Below are 14,141 nucleotides of genomic sequence, written 5' to 3'. Positions count from 1 at the left end.
TCTAGCCCATGACACTCACCACGGCTGCTCACTTACCTGCTGCAGAATGATTTAAGTTCTCAGGTTAAGGCCAAGAATTTGAAAAATGTGGCTGCCAAACAGTGAGCCAAAGCTTGAGTTTCCACAGGCTGAGGAAAATTCTCTGTGGGCATCTTTGATTTTTCTCTTTTCACATCAACTCTGGGAGTCTCAGGGACTTCAGAGGACATCTCCCACCAGACTAACCCACTCCTGCCCAGCTTGAACAGATACTCTGTGGGTGACAGAGCAACGCCAGTGGCTACCAAGAGGTGGGGCTTACCTTGGCTGTCTTCCTACACCTGTGGTGAACTGAGAACTCCCCACTCCCTGGGGACCCTCTCTCTGCAAGTTTTATTATAGTGAACGGCAACTGAACGTTTCCGATTTGCCGGGCGCTAAGCGCTTTATATGCATTATCTCATTTCATCCTCAGAAGCACCCCATGGGGTAGGTGCCATTATCATCCCCAGTTTACAGATGAAGAAACTGAGGCCCCAAGAAGTAACCCGCTGAGTCATCCACCTAATAAGTGCCCTGGCACCCAAGCCCCACCTGTCCGACGCCTCAGCCCTGTTCCCAACCACATGCTCTGTTAAACACCTCTCCCCTGAGCAAGAGTCTGTCCTGTTCTGAACACCTTTTGGCATTTTATAATCCACCCCACCCCTACCCCTACCCACCAGGTCTTTCAGAGGCATAAACAGGCTCCTCTCACAGTAAAGAATAGTGGCAGAAGGTACACATGCATTCGAATGCCTCAACTTTCCCATGACGTTTAATACATTTGTTAATATGGGTTCCCAAACAATCCCCTTCTGCAAGCTGAAGGGCTGCCAGGGCTGGGGTAATAAATTATTAACAAAACCATTGTCACACAATGACTGCTGTGGGTCTGGAGTCCTTTTTTAGAAACCAATGATTACAATCAAAACTCAAAGACCAGGAACCATGAACTAGGTAATAAAACACACCTGGGTAGGCAGAGAGTGCCTGGAGAACTGGAACTCGGGAAACCTACATTTTGGCCTTGGCTCCTTGCTATCCAGCCATGTGATTGTGGGCAATTTACTTAACTTCATTTGTGCCCTGGGTTCTTTAGCTAAAAAATGAGGGTCTTACCACCTGCCATGTCAGCATCACATGGAAGCTGGGGCCCACCCAGCAAGGTTGTTATGAAACAGTAGGTGTGAAAAACACTTTGATTACTACCAAGAACTACTCAGATGGAAGGTGCTACAGTTGTCTAACAATAATACCCCTTTCCAGGGAAGGTGTAAGATAGGTGGATCCAGAAAAGAGCTGGGTGTTACATAAATGGCCAAAGACTAGTGTCCAACTTGCATCCAGTGATAATTCTAGTTGGTTCTGGTAGGTTGAATGGCCTCTAAATTGACAGCAAAAACACAATGAATGGCAATTCCCATTAAGTGTCACAATGTAGAATTTTTTTTTTTAAGTTTGGACGGCATGAAAAAGAACGAGATCATATCTTTTGTGGGAACGTGGATGGAGCTGGAGGCTATTATCCTCAGCAAACGAATGCAGGAACAGGAAACCAAATACTGCACGTTCTGGCGTATAAGTGGGAGCTAGATGATGAGAACTCATGAACACAAAGAAGGAAACAATAGACACTGAGGTCTACTTGAGGGTGGAGGGTGGGAGGAGGGAGAGGAGCAGAAAAAATAACTATTGGGTACTGGGCTTAGTACCTGGGTGATGAAATAATCTGTACAACAAACCCCAGTGACATGAGTTTACCTGTATAACACACCTTCACATGTACCCTCAAACCTAAAGTAAAAGTTAAAAAAAAATTTGGCTGAAATTTCACTAGCTATAAAAGCCATTCAAATTTCTGCACGTGCAGAGATAAACATCGTTGCTTCCGCTTGTCAAAGTTTAATACACCCAAAGGCAGAATACAAGCTTGTGTCAGACCCTCCTCTCAAGTAATCCCCAGCCTTTCCACATAAAGCATTTCCCAACATTTTAAACCAGTCTCGACTTCAGCAAAAGTCTGACCTATGAAAAGGGCCTAATAGTGAGTACAATGGGCATTCAGAATTGGACCCTCCCTTGGCATAAATTATCACTCACCCTAACAAGAAACTTTTTTGCAAGGTCTGATGGCTTTCAACCAGCCAACATCTGCAGCTCTCAGTTTACCAGCCTCTCTCAGGATGTTTCCAGCTTTAATGAGTTCAGAAATAACATAGACTTCCAAGTAGAAAGGAAGCGATGAAGTGAAGCAAGTCTGTATTGGAGAGGTGTCAACATTTCAATTTCATTTGTCTGAAATAAGGTCCTCCCTCATCCACACTGTACAGTCACCTTTTAACAAGTGAGAGACAAACCAGTTTCAACTACCCTGCCAGGCAAGGGTGGGGCAGACGCCCTTCGCTATGCCTGACACCTGAGAGAAAAGGTGGAGGACAAAGAACCCTTCCTTCACTCTTATTAATCTGGTCACTGGGCTCTGGGGAACGGCCTAAGCTCCAGGGTCAAGGCCAAGGCAGGGGATCTTCATGATGATTTTCAAGGTGAATTCAGTCTTCTTCAAGCAGCAAAGTCCAACCTGTTCTATTAAAAACACTTTTCAGGGTCCAGTATGGTGGCTTACAGCTGTAATCACAGCACTTCCGGAGGCCAAGGTGGAAGGACTGCTTGAGCCCAGGATTTCAAGACCAGCCTGGGCAACATAGCAAGACCCCATGTCTAAAAAAAAAAAAAAAAATGTTTTTAATTGGGGGAAAAAACACCTTTCTTCTGAGACAGAAAGCTCAACAGCTCTCCTTTCCTGTCTCCCAGTGCCCACGGGAACTGGGACTTACTGGGAAAGCTCTGCCCTATCTGGTAAGCAGCGTGGTCCCCCTCCACCCTGTGTGGATCAGAACGCTAACAGTTTCACACATATTCAACAACAACTCAACCAACAAACAGTAATTCCTAAAAAAAAAAAAAAAAAAAAATTAAAGGTATTATCGTAGGAAGCCCCTGATGGTGTAGGCAGGCTACTGGCAACCACTGTTTCCAGCAATTTTCAACAGTAAAACCAGATTTCAGAGAAGCAGGTCAGCCACCACCCTGGAGGACCCTGTGGCTCTGACCCAGGAACAAGAAGTTAAGGAGACTCCAAATTTTCTCTGGGTTCAATAGTCAAACAGATGCCAAAGGCCAGTATCTTTTGTGGGGATACACGGCACAGCCGTCTGTCTCTTCCAGCCAAGTCATGAAGATTGGAAAGCCTCCAGACAAAACAAAGATGACCAGTGGAGTGTCAAATCAACGATACCCTTGAAAACAGATGTAAAATAGATGCAACATCAAAATTTGCCTGAAGTGGAAGGGGACTGTGGTAGGAAGCTCCTTGGTAATCCTCCAAGAGGGCAAGAAGGTGTTCTGGTGGCTCTTCAAGCCAATATGAGGCTTATTAAAAAGGTACTCTAAAGCAAAGGAGAGTTTGGTTAGATCTCAGGAAGGACTTTTGTCCAAGGAATCAGAGGGCTTTAAAATCTCAGTCCATAAAGAAGGAATGAACAATGTGAACTGCATGTCTGGGCTGCAGGAGACACATGCTAGCCTCTGAGGGTGGCTTCCAGGGCTGGTTCTATGATTCAATGACAAGTATCCTCTGGTGGCTCTTGTGAAACTCTCAGGTCCTGTCTCAGCTCACCCACATGATCACTGTGGGAACTGTGGCCAGGAGGACATGAAGACTTTCTCATCAGACCTCCACCTTGTCTCATGAACCCTGAAAAGACAGATGCAAGAGGTGCTTGGAAAATTCTATCATCAAGTCCTCTTCCCGGGAGGAGGGTCCAGTGCTGAGGACCTGGCAGTGACTTGGGTGCTGTTCCTCCATGGGGGTGGCAATCTGCATCGTGGAGAGCGAGGGCTGAAGCAGGAGTTGCAGGGTCAGGGGAGTCGATCTCTGGAAACAACTCCCCAGGTCTTATTTCCATTCTGTGTACCTGAGGGACAATGAATCAACACCAACCAACATTTCCTGTCCTCAATGCTCCGAGGTTCCCAGGGAATTCAACTTGAAATTTATACAGATGCCAAGAATAATCCTTGCCACCCCCCCCCCATTTTCTGTGTTTGTGCAGTCACACGGCTCAGTGAAAGCGATCTCTATCCTGCATCTTTAGCAAGGTAGAAACATACGCATAGGGGTGACTTAGGAACTGGGTGGGTTTGGACAGCTCATTTATTAACTTCCATCCTCAGTTCCCTCATCTGCAATGGAGAAAGAGGAGGAGAACCACTTGAGATTCTATTGCAAGGAGTGCAGGAGAGAAAACAGGTGAGAGCCCGCACAGTACCGGCAGGGTGTCTACACCAGCCACGTTCCCTTCGCTGCTCTCCACACAAACTGTGACAAGGACACTTGGCCATAGAAGCCGAAAAAAATAAATCCACTCAGGCCGGATGGAGGCAAGGACACTGGCTTAGGTGGCAAAGCATCAAGCAAAGCAAGTGCCTCCTTGATGAAGACTGCAGTCACCCCCAGTCAACCCTAGTCCTTCCCAACTCAACTGACTCTCGGGTACAGCCGAGTCTGGTCCCCAGCAGAATGCTCTGGGACTCTTCATGTCTCCCCACCCTGCATCCCCATCTTGCTGTGTGCTGGCCCACCAGGTAACTTCCACACGGCCACAGAGAGCATCCCTGGCAGCTGACAGTAAGATGTACAGATGGCCAAGCGGTTAGAGCAGGGCAGGGTGAAATCACACAGCACTCATCTGGGTAAAGCTGCTTTGTATATTAGGGCTTTGGCGGCGGCAGCGCATATCCAAGCAGGGGACAGGCCCAAGCCAACTTGGTGCCCTTTAGAAGCACCGACTAGGGATCGGCGGGAACCACAGAGATCACCTCATCCAGCCCCGACTTGATGACAAGCCCATCACCCTGGTGGAGCAGATACTTTCCGCAGCTCTGCCCCTGACCGACCACCATGGGGTAGACCGCGTTAGCTTCCTTCACTCAGCTCCTCCAACATCCCAAGCACAAGCCAACCCTCTTCTGAAATACTCTTGCCCTCTGCTACTCTTCACACAGCTCCTTCTCTTCGCATCTGTTGGGTCTCAGCTTGAACGGTATCTCCCCAGAGAAGCCCTCCCTGGCCACGCTTCGTGGCGCCTGTTTGCTTCCCCATCACACTTCTCTGAAGCTCTGATTTAGCTGATGATGAGCTGATTTCCTAGCTCTGTCTCCCACAAGACTGTAAGCTCCTGGAGGGCAGGGGCTATGTTGGTCTCATCCCTGACTGTATTGACGCCAATGTGTATAGCACCTGACACCCAGGGAGTGCTCAGTAAGTAAACATCTGCTATATTAAGCCGGCTGTGGTGACACAAGCCAGTAGTTCTAGCTACTCCGGAGGCTGAGACAGAAAGATCTCTTCAGCCCAGGAGTTCAAGGCCAGCTTGGTCAACACAGTAAGGCCTCTTCTCTCTTTTTAAAAAATTTACTATATTAATGAATGAACAATAATCCTGAAGGAGGTGCAATTCCGAAACACTCAAGCCAAGCTTTGCATCCATGGCAGCTGAAGTATAACTTTATGGCCAGAAGAAGCCTGCATGTGAAAGCTCAAAGTCCTGCTAAGTGGGAATATGCAGCACACCGCAGACCAGCCAAAGGCAGCTGATGTGGTGTTGTCACCTCTACGGGCTTATCCGGTTTTTGCACGTAACTCTGTGATGGGCTCAGCCTGGCTGAGGATCCTTAATCCATCGAGTTAACTGTTAACTACCCCGGCCCCAGTGACACAGCAGCTTGCATGATTAACTACAGCCCGGGAGGGATGATCATTTGTGCACCTTCCGTCTCCAAACCTGGCTCCCTCCCCAGACTTGATAGCTACAAGCTCTGGGCTCAACAGTTTGTGGGTTTGTGTTGCAAGGAGGCTAATAAAAACATATTTCTCAAATACCATATGGTGAGGGCAACTGCAACACATCCTCCTCGAAGAGCAATAAAATATATATATTTTTAAAGTCCTGAATTCCAGGGGAAAAACGAGGCTTGAAGACTTCAGAGGGTTTACAGGACTATCCCCTTCAGTGTCAGAGCCATCTTGATCAAAAGTCTAAAACCCAGGAATAGGAAATTGGTAGAAACTTTGAGAGAGCCTCTGACAGTTTCAAAGAGGAACTCAGAGGACCTCAGGAAATGTGAGCGGGCATAGATTTCTCCGTGAAAAGGAGGGTCAAGGCAGAAGAACCAGAGGCAACTGTGAACATCAAGTCAGTTCTCAGGGAAGCAGGGGATCCAAGTGTGTACATGAGGCGCCTTCACTGTCCCTGCATCAGGAATCTAGCTGTTGGCACCTTATAATGAGAAAACAGTCTCAACCATGAAGTTAACTCTGCTGGAAGATTTCCAAAGGGAAAGTCCCTCCCGTTACTCAGAGGGGAAAAAAAAATTACCTACTTGGTCTGGAATCCGGGGATATTTTATGCAGATGTCTCTAACAGAAGTTAATAAAGGGAAGTCAGCTTGCCTCTGATTATTCAAACAGGCTACTGCTATTAAGGATTGCACAACTTCTGGGCAAGGCAGAGGTGGGTTTGGCTTTTTAAAAATTTTTTCAGCCTGTCCTCATGGAACTACATATTCTTTTCTAAGAACTTTTCATCCTAACCTCCCTACTCACATCTTCTAAGTGTCTCTGCTCTGGTGGGAATGTGATGGACAACACAGAGCCATCTCAGAAGCCTCTGTGGCCACCACCAGGCCGGCCAGGGTGCAGGGGGCCACTCCCTGGGCAGCCATAGGGTTCTCAGCAAGGTGCATTCGTCGTCCCTGCTGAGAATCTGATGGGGCAGCATTTTTTTTTTTAATTAAATGCAAGCTGAGTCATTTCAACCTGCAACCTTCAGGTAACAGGAGTTACCCAAGCTCCAGGAATTATGATTGTGGGGTAAACCCATTCTCTTGTTTTCTTGCGGTTCTATTTTATAACGCACTAGAGGAGACAGAGACGTCATTGCTTCACCCAGGGCAAGAGGACAAAGGAGGATGCATGGAAATACAAACAGCCCTTCTCCTCCAGGCCATACCGACTGTCCAACTAGCAACAGACTTCACCTGGTTTTGGAGCAATCTGAATTTGGAATATGCCAGAGAAAACTTCTATCAGGCAAGATGGAAGACTCCTAGGATAGGTCTCTCTCATGGAGGGATTGGTAATAAAAAAATCATGGGAAAAGAAATAAGGGAGGGTGGAAAAAACACACCTTAGAAAACAACTTCTGATGTCCCGGGGCTACACAATGGGGGAGCTGAGCACTTAGGAAGGAGAGGGAAAATATTCTGTTTCCGGAGACAGCTCCAAGAATCATGAGTAGGTGTGAGAAACAAGGAAGCTTACAGATTTAAAAAAAAAAAGAAAGAAAGAAAGGAAGGGGGCAAAAGGAAGGAGTCAGGGAAGGGGGGAGTGAGATCTTTGAGAGACAGGGGAATTAAAAAACACCATAGCAACAACGCAGTCCACCTACCCTGGCCGCCCACCCACAGCCAGATTCTTTACTGACGCATTTGAGAACAAGCTGGTTCCTACCAGCTCAGGAAGGTGAGCAAACCCAGAGAGCTCATTAAATCCCTTCTCAGCGACTCTTGTCTGCCTGCAGATAGTGAGCAAGGAGGATATAAATAGAAGTTATATAACATCTCTTTGTTGATTCCTGTGCTTACCAAAAAAAAATGCAGCATGACCTTGTTTTTCTTTAGAGTTTGCCTCGGCCTGCTGGTTGAGGACTTTAATCCAGATAGGAATCATCTTGAAGTTTAAACAGCAGGATATAGATTTCCAAGTTAAGGGTGCTCTGCATGGCCATCCAAGTTAGGAACCCACAGGGTCAAGTCCTCCTCCGCGGATTAAAAAAAAAAAAATCCACCAGCTCTAAAACAACAACAGCAGGTATGGAATCTTGTGGCTTCCTCTTAGAACATCTCCTGAGGTAAATTAAGGAGTAAATTTGATACCCAAGAGCAAAGCATCATTAAAATGGCATCTTGGGTTTTCTAAAGGAGGTTCGAGCACCACAGGTATATTCAAAGGTAACTGGTGGTTTCCACATACCCTCCAGGCCTAAGCAGTTGTCTTTTTGTTCCTTAACAGGCACGATGGTAAGAGTCCAGTGGATGGAAAAGGCCTCCTCCTTAAAGATGGTGATGGAAACGAGCACTGCACAGGGAAACACAAATCAGGTCCCCTGAAATCCAGCCCAACCTGGCCAGACCCTCCAGTGCCCATCAGGGCTTATGAACAGGGTGCTTCAGTGTCTTTGTTAGGGGTGGTTAAAAAGGAGCACGTGCTTATAGGGGATGCTGCTGAGCTCCATGATTTTGACTTCCTGTCTAACCTGTTGATGCTACAAAACTCTTTTAAAAACAGTTACCATGGGAACTTTTCCCTAGCAAGCATTCTTCAAGAAACGTTACAGGTGCTGGTGAATTCAATGCCCTTGGTGTCAATAAGCTTTTGCTGAGTCTTAGAATGTGTGGCTTGAACTGAGAGGACTTTCAAACAGATAATGCGAAGTTTCCAATGCAAATGTCTTCGGGGTTAAGTGTCAGTGAAGTGCAGTGGAAGGTAGGGGGATAAAATGATCTCAGTGTATATGGAGGCCCCACTTAAGCATTCAAAAAATTCTATATACAGTGTTTTCAATGTATTATGTATCAGCAAAACAAAATACCCCATAGGGCTATAATCAGCTCAGGGGGTCACCTCAGCAAGAGATGCTCTGGCTATCACTCCTACTACGGGATTTCCTCTCTCATCAGAACCAGTAGGTGGTCAAAACCACAATAATGCATAAATGAAGGCAGGGAATTGGGTATCCAATGTGAGCAACTGAAAAGGTGCCATGTATTAGCTATTTGCCATTATGGTTCTGCAAGTGCTCAGATGACTCATAAAATGACCAGAACAAAAGTTTGTTCTTTTGTTTTTACTTTGAGAAGATAAAGAATCACGAATTAGTATTCAAGGTTACCTAATACTAACCCTTGTCTACCACGTGACCTTGCATTACAGGGAGCTGTTGTTGGGACAGGACAAGAGTCCACATCCCCTGCCCAGTGCCTGGTTCTGGGTCATGTCACCGAAGCGCATCAGCCCATCTGTCAGCCAAACCCCACTAGCCTTGTGCCTTCTCTTCTAAATCCCCGCGGAGGAAAACAACTTCTGCCTTCTACAGTACGAACAGCGAGGGTCTGCTGGGAACCAATACAACTTCGCGTCCCAGTGCAGCAATGTTGCCAGGTAACAAATGTAGAAACATACTCCAAAAACTGTATGTGACAATATACAACCTCCGCTCTGCAGCTGATAACCGAGGGAGTGTTAAAACACCGCGTTCTCTTAACACTTGGGTTTTTGGTGTGAAAGTAAAATTAAACGGGATACTTCCTCTTGTAAATATAAGACAGGCATACAACTCACACACGTATCCACTAATCGGAAATAGTAGAGGGGTTTGCAATAGCTATCTGCAGTGCATCCCAGCCTTCACTCTTACCCTCAAGATGAATTCCAGAAAACCTACAGAAACGATAACTGAGGAAGAGCCTTTCTTCTGTCGGGGACAAGCTCTCCTCTAACAATTGTGAGGAAGCTACCCACAAGAAAGACACCAGCAGAAATTAAGGAAAAGCTCATGCATTGTTATTAAAAAAAAATGTGCTTCCATTCCACTCCATTTTAAAGGTCTACCTTTAAAACTCATTGGCTAACCAAGCAGTGACTACTTGCTTCTCAGATCAAATAACCAGTGCAGCCTGTTCCCACCCCAAACGAAAACAAGATAGACACTGCTCTCTAGTAGGCAGAGCTCCAAAGTGGGTACAGGGCACTGAATAGCTCCCTCACATTGTACTCATGTAACTTAAAGGCTGGCTAGCATGGGAGAAAGCTGAGAGACTTCTGAGGGCCTTGTGTTCAAATCCCAGCTCTGCCAACTGGGTGACTTTGGGTAAGACACATGGCTTTTTTCAGACTCAGTTTCCTCATCTGCAATTGGGACTATTCCATGTAGCCCAGATAGAGTACCTACTGGCTCCACGCACAGTGCTGGGCACTTTATAAAATGAGAAGACCTTCCTCCCTTTCCCTTCGCCCAAACATGAATATTCTTCAACCAGTAAAGACTCAGATGTGGGGAGTATCTGGTGCATTTAGCTTCTCTGAGCAAAACGGGCAAAAGCTGAGATCTAATAACCATCACATGATGCCAAAGAACATATGCTTCTTTAGACGCAAGCGAAAAACAAAAATCGCTATTAATCCAACTTTTCATAACGGCCCTAATTAGATGAGCTGCTGTCAATCTCTTCCACAGTGAGGAAGTTCTGTAGGACAGTCTTCCTGTCATTAACTTTCCTAAGACCTGGGAACCTGGAACTTGCTGGAAGTACATGTATGTAGCACACATAATTGTCATTTGGCAAATGAGATGCCCAGTCTGAAAGGAAAAGTCTTTCATGATTTCCTCCTCCAGAATTCATGGGCAGACCTTATAAACAAAGCAAATACACTGACCACTCGAGCTGCCTTCTGATTATCAGGAGGGCACAGTGTCTCCCACAAAGACTCCACTACCAAAGAAAACAAAATGTGGAGGCACAACTTCCAATCTGCCTGGCAAACAGACGCAAAGTCCTTGAAGCGGCCATGTCTGTGCCTGGAAAATTGGTGGAGTAAGGAGGCGGCATGGTAGAGAGGTTACAAACTCACGTTCTGGCAGAAAACAAACCCTGGAACAACTACCAGCTGGCTCTGTGACTCTGAGCATATAACCTGACCTCTCGGATCCTCTATTTCCTCATTAGCAGAAAGGGATCAAAACAGTACCTACTACATAGGCGCCCCAGGAAGATGGATGAGACCATGCAGTGAGGGCGCCTGGCTAGCCCGTGGTACATGAGCACTTGTTACCACTACTGTCCATCATTATTACAAAGAAGAAGAAAAGAGGACTGCTGCCATCATAAGGCTATTTCTCCAAGTTGACATGTATTTCCCATGGGCTCAGATCAATTCCCTCCCACACCTAAAGAAGGTCCCCTTTAAAATGGCAATAATCATCAACAACACAAGTTCACATTTCACATCCTCATGTTTCTATTCAAAAATGGTAAGAAGGCTAAAGTAACACGGTGGCCACACTGGGTCAGAACTTCTATCTCTACATTTACAGTCTGAGTGCTGGGGAGTCAGATGGAGACTTGACCCCGGAAGAAAGTGCACCCTTGGGCGAGTTAGTGGGTGAGGGAAGATAAACAACCAAAAAGTAAGCAGAGTTGCTTTGGATGAGCTGTTACGATGTGTTAAAAGCTCCATGCTGAGCTGAGTGCCTTCCACATATTATCTCAGTGAATTCCCAGAATAGTTTATACAGTAGGAGTATCCACACTGATTCATCATGTACACACTGAGGACCTTTCATCCAGCACGTGTGGAGGCTCCTCGAGGGGACTCGGAGTGAAGACAGACTTGGTCTCTGCCCCCTCGGGTCTTACAGTCAAGCTCCAGTTGAAGTGTGGTCATTACTACAGTAAATGAAGCACAACCCATTATCTCTGCCTCAGGGGATCAAGAGGAAGTTTCTAGAGTAGGAGACATTTCAATCAGGGCTTGGGGAGCCTGCCAAAGGGAATGAGGGCACGTCCCACATGAAGCAAAGGCATCTGAGTTCATGGCCCCGCTGGGGATTGGCAGGCATGAGTTGCAGCTGCAGGACAATAAGCGTAGGGGAGTGAGTGGAGAAACCCAGGTGGGGCCAGACCACGTGAGGCACTGATGGGTTCCATCAGGGTGGCCATGGGCTCCATACTCCACAGAAGGCTGTTCAGATGGGGAAGCAGGTAGTGAGGGTTCCATTTGGGGGGCATCACTGACAACCGCGTGGAAGAGAGAAATGCCCAGAGGCAGGAGGCCACTAAAAGGCTATCTCAGTTATCCAGGCAAAAAGGCTGACAGGTGCAGATCTCAGCAGCCCTATGCTGGCAGGCGGTCGAGCCTGGTGGTCAAGAATATGAATCCTGAAGTAACAGTGCCTAGTTTCAAACCGCTGCTCCTCCATTCCCAGCTGGGCCACTCTGAATTCACAGTGCCAACTATCTGGCTCATTATAAGTCCTAACAATGGTTAAACTCCCAGGAGGTAGAGTGGGCACAGATTAGTTCCTGGAGAAAAGCAAGAGAAAAAGAAGTCTGATGACTGCAAAGCTTCTAGCTTGGGTATCCTTGGCTGGTGGTGAGTCCACTGAGAAAGCTATGGAACACGAGAGGGCAAATAGAATGGAGGAAGGGAGATGACAGTGTCATGGGGTCCTGCTAACTTATAGCTAACACAAGTGGAGATGCCCATCAGGGATTTGAGCAGAAATCTAGAAATCGGCAGAGAGGTGGGACCGAGAGCTGTATCTTTGGGAGGTGTTGGCATAAATGGCTGCTGGAGGCCTGGGCAGTAGATGAGATTACCCAAGGGGATCGGTAGAAAAAGAAGGCAAACAGGCTGGAGATGGGGCCTCAAAACATTTCAGATGTTTTAAGGTCAACCGTATATGCCCTGAGAAGTCCCTGTGTTTACCACTAGGAAAACGTTTGTAGGAGGCACAGAAATAGCACAGCATTAAGCCATAAGGGAGTGACTAACCTGAAACCATGATGCTTTGGGGTAGGACGGTCAGAGGGGGCTCACAGATCCAAAGTCTGTAATCGCAGGTGTCTGGACTCTCAGGCTACATATACAATTTCCTAAGGAATGTCCTGCTTTGTCTGCGTCCCGAATCTGTGTTGAAAGATAGTAAACTGGGGTGATGGAGTACATCCTGGCAGAGGCTATGTGGGGAGAGCAGAGATGACTCTAGGGAAGAAAACGTCTTTTAAAAAACAACCCTGTCTGCTCCCACCAAAAGGAAGAAAGAAAAGAAAGAAAAAAATGAAGGAAAAGGGGAAAGGAAGGGAAGGAAAGAAGGGAGGGAGGAAGAGAGGGAGGGAGGGAAGGAGGGAAAGAAAAAAAAAAGACAGTGAGAAAGAGAGAGAAAGAAAGAAAACACAGAAAGAGAAAGGAAAAGAAAGAGATAAAGAAGAAAAGAAAGGGAAGGAGGAAGGAAGGAAAGAGAAGGAGAGAAGGAGGGAAAGAGGGGAACGAAGGAAGGAAGGAGGGAGGGAGGGAAGGAAGGAAGGAAGGAAGGAAGGAAGGAAGGAAGGAAGGAAGGAAGGAGGGAGGGAGACAGAGAGGGAGGAAGGGAGGGAGGGAGGCCCCAGCCTGTTTCCCTGAATTCCCATTTATTAGCTGAGTAAGTGGCCAACATATCTTGGGACTTAGGATATTGCTCATCTGGTGAATATTTACTTAAAAATTGCCATACCAGGGGATGAGGAGCACAGAACAAAGGGGAAATACTGTGGTTCTTTCCCTTAGGCAGTTTAACATCTACATAGTAAAGATTAAACAAACCCTAGGGTCAGCAAACATTTTTCCAAAGGGCCAAATGGTAAACATTTCACACGCTGAGGGTCATTGCAGCTATCTGTCACAACTACTCAACTCTGCCCCTGAAGCAGGAAAGCAGTTAGGACAATCCCAAAGGAAAAACTGCAGCTATGCACCAATAAAACTTTATCTACAAACACAGGCAGCTGTCTGGATTTTTCCCGTGGGCTACCATTTACTAATCCCTGAACCTCCAGAGGAAGACTGACCAATCCTCTGCCTGGCAGTTCCCAAGAGGCATCTCACACTCGGAAGTCACTAAAGAAAGTTAGGAAGAGCACAGACCTCTTGCTAGACCAGAAGGAAGAGAAAGAAATAAGGAATATCTGGACCTGTTGAGGATTCAGTGGGATAAAATGAATTGATGCCTCACTTTACAAAAATTTCCAGGTCTTCTCTGTCATTTTTCTCTGCACTTTTAGTAAAATTTTGGAGACTGTGGAAAACCTGAGGTTCTCTCTGAAGACATCTCCTCTTAGAAACAAATTCCTAGCCAGCGTGGTGGCTCACGCCTGTAATCCCAGCACTTTGGGAGGCTGAGGCGGGCGGATCACTTGACGTCTGGAGCTCAAGACCAGCCTGGCCAACATGTAGAAACCCCGTC

The 14,141-nt window shown here is 46.7% G+C and overlaps 1 protein-coding gene and 1 long non-coding RNA gene across 5 annotated transcripts in view, besides 3 other annotated features; one reads left to right on the top strand and one right to left on the bottom strand.

The window, feature by feature from the left end:
• The window catches only part of ITPR1 (inositol 1,4,5-trisphosphate receptor type 1), a 354,159-nt gene that overhangs the window by 89,344 nt on the left and 250,674 nt on the right, over positions 1-14,141 (bottom strand).
• Positions 3,776-3,885: an enhancer, noted in NCBI's record as "active region_19354". NCBI's record gives its function as "activates an Ori minimal core promoter by ATAC-STARR-seq in GM12878 lymphoblastoid cells {active_cell/tissue: GM12878}" and the evidence as "EXISTENCE:reporter gene assay evidence [ECO:0000049][PMID:35858748]".
• EGOT (eosinophil granule ontogeny transcript) lies at positions 6,573-8,971 on the top strand. The gene is made up of 2 exons (NR_004428.1): positions 6,573-7,217; positions 8,153-8,971. It is a non-coding gene; the product is annotated as an eosinophil granule ontogeny transcript (long non-coding RNA).
• Positions 8,451-8,520: an enhancer, noted in NCBI's record as "active region_19353". NCBI's record gives its function as "activates an Ori minimal core promoter by ATAC-STARR-seq in GM12878 lymphoblastoid cells {active_cell/tissue: GM12878}" and the evidence as "EXISTENCE:reporter gene assay evidence [ECO:0000049][PMID:35858748]".
• Positions 9,182-9,374: a silencer, noted in NCBI's record as "fragment chr3:4790473-4790665 (GRCh37/hg19 assembly coordinates)". NCBI's record gives its function as "represses an EF-1alpha promoter that drives an FKBP-Casp9 reporter gene in an ReSE screen in HepG2 liver carcinoma cells {active_cell/tissue: HepG2}" and the evidence as "EXISTENCE:reporter gene assay evidence [ECO:0000049][PMID:32094911]".

This window comes from Homo sapiens, chromosome 3 (assembly GCF_000001405.40).
Source record: "Homo sapiens chromosome 3, GRCh38.p14 Primary Assembly".
Lineage (NCBI taxonomy): Eukaryota > Metazoa > Chordata > Mammalia > Primates > Hominidae > Homo > Homo sapiens.
This window is presented reverse-complemented; position numbering and strand designations above follow the sequence as displayed.